Raw genomic sequence first — 6,507 nt, 5'->3', positions numbered from 1 at the left:
CCCAACATTTAAATCATGTTTCCTTCTGAACCTTTTTTGGCTTATTGCGTGGAGCTGACCTTCCGAGCCCTGGTCCTTGGGGAAAGCACTTCCTGGGGCTCTGAAATGTCTCTGCATCCACACATCTAAGCCGGGGAAGCTTCCCCTTCACAGGATTTCATGACGTGCTCATAGGATAGCCGTAGGCTACAGAAGTCACTGGGACTGAGTCTGAGTTTTTGACAAACTGTAGTTGTTGCCATAAATACGTTTCCACAGCTCTTGAATCACTCCACGATGATCCTTTAATTTTCAAACTGTTTGGATGGTACATGATGCCGACATGTACAGACGTGTGTATATGAAAGACATGTGTATATGGTGAAATCCTACCACTTAAGAGGGTCCAGACCCTACCTCTCAAGTCAGGATGAAGATTTTTGTATAAACCCCTCCCCAGTGCTGCCCCCCTCCATGTCTTAAAAAAATATGACATTTCCTGCTAACGGGGTTTAGCCAAACAGGCACCTGACTCCCCAGACCTTCTGGACACCGTACAGAAGGTCCAGCGGAAACGTGACAGGATTAAACCCACTGTCGCATTCTAAAACTCAATTCATCTGTTCCTAATAGCGCTTCAATAGTATCCTAGGAACCTCTTCTGTGAGGCTTCATCTGGTCTGTATTTGCAAACACTATTAAAAAAGAAGCCCTCGCATTCAGGGGGAGAAAAGGCTGTGTTAAATCTCTTCTCGGAGCTGCCAGGGAGAGGTGCAGACGCCACTGTGGGCAAGAGTATTTGCCAACATGCCATATGGGAGTCATGGTTGGGACTTTTTTTTTTCTAGAATAATTAAATGTTGATGGCAGAGTTCAAATGGATCATTAAAATTCAAAAGTGTAAGAAACAGATTTTTTCTTATGTTGCTGAACGCTCCAGAGGGCTGAATAGCTAGCAGAAGTGAGGCAGGCTGCCGCCCTGTGATCAGCGTGCGTGGGGATGGTGCTGATTTGATCATAATATAGTCATCTCTGAAGATTACAGCTATTCAATTAAATATTCTAATTAACCTGAAGTATTAGGCAAATGATACTAATTACAAATATTCTCCTGAGATTCACAGCGATGAAAATCCCCTTGCAACTGATACTTCTAGCCAATGTTTCGTAACACAATGTCCTATATCATAGGCTTTCAGAATATTAAAATGCAGTTAATTTGCCTAAACCTCATTTGTTTAATGGCATTAGCATTTTGTTTGAAATTGTAATAAACGTACATCCCGCTTTCAAGTAAAATTTAAAATGAGTGTACTCTTGGGGTAACTTAAGATTCCTGTTTACAGACTTAGCACTTTATTCAGTAAGCGGAACAGTTTGAGCTTAACTTTCAGCCATTAAACATATTGAAATTGTTTAAAAATGCTAATAATTTGTCTTTTCAAATAAGAAAAAGAGGATATTTTGCAGTAAAATTTCATGATGCCGCCCATGTGACTGGTCTCCCACTGCGAGGGCCCCGGTGCTTGAACTTTCCTTCCGTCCCCGGGAGAGCGGCTGCGTTCTGGAGGGAGGGTGCGGGTGCCCTCGCAGGACCGTTTGTGCTGGGAAGCAGCTGCAGCCTTCATTTCCCCGCACTAGTCTCCTCTCCTCTTTACATTATATTTACCCCCCTAAGGTAGCTGGGTTTCTGGGTAGCCAACCTCGGAGGTGTAATGAGACTCATTATCTCAGAAATCTCACCCTGACACCCACCCGAGTCCTATGTGCAGCTCTAAGCTCTCCGTGGTGGTCCTCCCCCCTCACCCCCTCCCCAGCAGCACGTGTGAGACCCTCTTGATCTGAGCAACACCGCCCTCTTCACATTTTGGGCTGGCACCCATGACCTGCACCACGTCCTGTTTCCCACTGATGACGAAAGACCCCACCAACTCTGAAAGTTCTGCGCAGTGTTCACAAAGCCAGCTCCAGGAGTGTGGCAGCACGCCCGCGCCAGTGCTGAAATCTCGGAAGCCGCATTTCTAGGGAAGGGAAAGCTGGGGAAGTACCCGCGTGGAGTGTCTTCACGACCGTGTTGTAGCACAAGTCAGAAGCAAAACTGAGGGGCTGGGCTGGCACTGTGATTTATGACCCAACCGTAGGGGCAGAGGGGGTGCAGAAGCAGCCGTTAAGAGCAGAGGTGACTTTAAAAGCACAGACACAAGGAGCATTTGTTGAAACGCCCGTGCCCTGTGACGGGCTTCCATGAGTCCGGATATCGAGAAGGGGAGGATAAACACTGTTCTGGACGTTTAATCACATAGTGAGAAACATACACAGGGTTTTGGATGAAAAATCACCCACAAAAGTAAAGGAGAAGGTGAGAGCACTGAGAACGCAGAACTGTGCAGGACACACAGGACTCCCAGCCTCCAGCTGGCTCAGGGTCCAGACCTGGACAGATGATGCCTGCCATGTCTATATGGGCACCGGACCCAAGTCAACACTCACCAGAGGAGGAAGTGAGCGAGCGATACCATCTCTGTCCATGCCGGGCTCGCGTGCAAGGCCCTGATGGACTCATCCATCCTCTGGGGGAGTGAATCTGCTGGAAAGATTTACCTTTATAAACAGCGATGTAATAAAATCACCAGGAAATGCATTCATCACTTAGAAACAGAGGAAGTAATGGAGAGGACTTTCATTTCTATAAAGTGAACAGAATGGAGTAATAAACACAGGGGAGCAGATAATCCTGGGTGATGTACACATTTATAAGAAGGAAAGGCAAAGAAGGGATCCACTTTCACGAGGGGAGGGATTTCCGCACCGGTGGCAACGCGGACCGTCGATGTTGCAATGAATGAGCTACACAGTTGTGTTCAGCCTTTTCTCCCCTATCATTTCAATCAGGATACGTAAAATCATGTGCTGAGAAAGGGAATGTTATTGTTAAGATGTTTACGTGGAGGGCCGAACTTCATGCACACATGGGCATTCTGCTGTCTAGGGAGCCCAGTTGCCCGCAAGCTTTTGCTCTCTGGCCTCAAACCACCCGTGTTCACAGGTGCTTGAGCAAAACTGACCAAAACAGATTGTGAGGCAAGAGTCCTGAGGAAGAGCATTTCATGCCATTCATGCCACGTGAAGACTTGCTCAAGAGGAGGAGGATGTTTCCGCCAATGTACAGGAAGAGCGTGTTCCGGAAGATGCCTCAGGAGAAGATCATTGCTGGGTGGTGAACTAGGGTGTTTGGAACACTCCTGTGTTCATCACAGCTTTCCTTTCTAGTGGGTTAGTTTAATGGAGTAATGAAGCGTTGATCAAAAGCAACATAGAGCATTTAAATTATATTCTGGTTGTTTTCCTAAAAGGAAAATTCTTTGCTCATCATTCAAATGGCAGGTGCTGTCCTGCCTGCTTGGCTGACTCTGAGGCCGGGTTTCCTGTACCTCTCTCAGACACAGTGGCCCTGCTGACCGCCCGTCACTTTTCGCAATGGTCACTGAGGGAGAGGCAGAGAAGTCAAGTCCTGGTGACCAAAAACTAATGAAAAAAGGAAACAAATGAGCTAGAAATAGGAGAATAAAGACAGAGAGACATAATAGAAAGAGAGAAAGTGAAAACCTTCTTCAAAAACAGGCAAAGTGCAAGAGCTATTATTTGGGGTTTCAATTGTCTCTGGAAAGTGAGGAGAGTTCCAGTTCCGGAAGGTTCTCTGTCTCTTCATATTTCTGAGCATGGGGCAGTTTAGAAATCAACAGTAGGAGGGTTCTGAAGGAGGGTGGCTGCCAAACTGAGGTGGCGGCTGGGCAGGAAGCACAGCCCCTGTTTGGGTCTGACACTTCTGGTTCTAAATATTTCACTTCCTCCTTTAAGTAATGAATACGATGGGTGTCACTTAGATGGACCAAGAAGCTGGAAATTGTTGGAGGACAGCTTGCCTTTGTGCGTTTGTGTTCTTTTAAAAGAAAAATTATTCTGTCTTGAGGTGAAAATGTCACCCCTCCCCGTTTTCCCTGCAAAAAAAGCCAAGATATTTGCCCAGAAACTATACTTTTGAATTCATGAACTCGACATCCACTTAGAAGTGGACTGAAGAATTGAATGACTTCCAATATCAGATGATCTTGTTTTAACTGGAGACCATTGCTAATGAGCATCTGTAGTCAGTGACCAGAGGAACAAATTAGTGTGAGTCTCCTCCAACTCCTGTTTGCTGCTTCCAAGGGTCCCCTCTCCCTGGTGTCTCCTTCCCGCTGGACACTCACTCCTGGCACTGTGGCTCACAGGGCCTCTTCTCCAGAGCCAGAAGCAGGGATCAGCGCAACTCCATGTTGTAAGGGGAGGACGCTGGGACTGGCCTTGGGGGTTTGGTTGGAGGAGGGGGACGACCCTGGGGTCTCACATCAGCACATGTGTGGCCAAGTCCATCTAGGGCAAGAGAGAGTCCACAGCCAGCTCCCTCAACCCTCTCTTTCAGCCTCTCACCTACAGTTTTAGCAGCCTCAGGATTATTCAAACAGCAGTAAGCCACACTTCCACATATTCCCTTTGTGTGTGTGTGTGTGTGCGCGTGTGTGAAGTGGGGGATGGCATCTCCACACCTCCACTGAGTCCTGGATGTCAGGAATTATTCACTGGATGATAGACGGAATCCAGAAGGCCTGTGTGTGCATGGGAAACCAGGAATTGTAAACACGTACCCCCACAGGACGAATGCCACTACCAGAGGCAACTCCACACAGAATACCGAGCAGTGTGAAGGCAGGCAAGTGTGAAAGGCTGTGAAGTAAACTCTTTTGTGACATGTTTTTATGACATAATTATATTGATCTGAAAGACACTCATCCAGAACCACAACCTTTTATACCCCAAGAAAAAAACCCGAGCCTGTATAATCTTTTCAATCACTTGATATTCATAGTCTTACTCAAAGGTCTCTGAATATGTCATGTGTGTAATACCAATGCAAAATTTGGCACCGTCGTCACTCCCAGCAATATGTTTCAATAAGGTAATTTTCTTGCTGCCTAAGAACATCAGCAGGGTGCAATCCGGAACAAAAACAGAGTATGACATCTTATTCAAGCATACATCTGGAGGACAAAACTATACTTTATTAAAGGAAAATGGGATTTCAGGATTGTTTTGACAAGCGGTAAGAATGCACACCTCAGTTTACATACAGTACAGCCCGGAAGCGAGAGGTGCTTCTGCAGCCACGGTCACTAAAGCCCGCCATCCTCCAAGGGACTGGGTGAGCACCTGGTTCTGGGACAAGCTTGTCTGGAAAAAATTCACGTACAGCATCAATTTTATTTCCCATTTCTGCTTCCTTGATGCTCAGAATCGGGGTGTCATTCATTCCTCGGTGGACGGTGCACATAACTTTCTTCCTCTTTTCAAAGCCAACGAATGGCAATTCTTCCTTTCTTTATTTTTGAGGGTCATCCTGATTCTCTACATGTGAGAGGGAAAGTGGAGCATATTCTTTGACCTTCTTAAATCAATTTAAGCATTGAGATTTAAAATAAATACTGAAAATAATGTCAGATTTTAAAATACCAGCTGTGCTGAAACACTTGCCTTCCTTTAAATCACCTGCTTTTATAGCCTGCCGTGTGTTTATTACCCGCCCAAAGCCTGCCAGGGATTTTGGGCCTCCGCCCCTGATTTTTCTGGTGTTTTCCTTGATTTCTACATCAAACCGGTCAAAACACTCACCACTGTAGTTACTTTGAGCAGCATGAATTCCTGAGTTAATCACCCCACAAATGTGTCTGTGAGAACGAGGCAGAGGGAGGCGTGGGCGTCCGGCTCCCAGGGGCTGGAGATCGCCTGGCACGTCCTCCCATCCAATTATTCAGCATAACTGCACCCATCACGATATTCACTCGCCTTTTTTTTCTTTAGAGAGAAAGTGTAAAAAATATTAAAAATAAGATCAAGCCAAATTAAATATTGGAAAACTTATTAAAGAGAAAAAAATATTGGAAAAGAAGAAATGCATCTTATTGCATGCACAAAGCAGGCACAATCACAGTGCTGAATTTTTCAACAATGAAATTGTGTTTTTAAATTTCAGATTTTGGTACCACCTTATTTTCAGAAATCATTCTGTGATTTGGTTAATTTTAAGGGGCTGGAGAAGAAGCTACATTAAAGAACAAATTTTAAATACTTAAATGGAAAGAAATCCCCAAACTGAATTCCTTTAGTGATGTTGCATATGAATTAAGCAATTTGGCCATGATTATAAGCTCAAAATTTCCAAAGATTATTTGTCAGTACAGTAATCAGTGGAAACCTGCCCAGCCTCTGTGTTATGCAACATTTGTGCTTAAAAGTACCAGGAAGTCTGTTGTTCCTTGTTTATCTTAAAACAGATGCATACTCTGAGATGATTTGTTGGCCAACAGCAAATAATTAGACTATTGTGTAGTATAAAAATAGTAAATATAACTGCTGAAAAAGGGAATGTTTTAAACGCACGCTATTAGCAGTTTTAGAAAAAGCAACTTAGGTCCTTTTATTCATAATATAAAC

The 6,507-nt window shown here is 44.8% G+C and overlaps 1 annotated feature.

The window, feature by feature from the left end:
* Nucleotides 264–1,920: an enhancer, noted in NCBI's record as "VISTA enhancer hs634". NCBI's record gives its function as "enhancer in: neural tube[8/17] | hindbrain (rhombencephalon)[8/17] | midbrain (mesencephalon)[8/17] | forebrain[8/17]" and the evidence as "EXISTENCE:transgenic organism evidence [ECO:0001131][PMID:17130149]".

Source organism: Homo sapiens, chromosome 18 (genome assembly GCF_000001405.40).
Source record: "Homo sapiens chromosome 18, GRCh38.p14 Primary Assembly".
Lineage (NCBI taxonomy): Eukaryota > Metazoa > Chordata > Mammalia > Primates > Hominidae > Homo > Homo sapiens.
The sequence above is the reverse complement of the archived record's forward strand: the minus strand, read 5'-3'. Positions and strand labels throughout refer to the sequence as shown.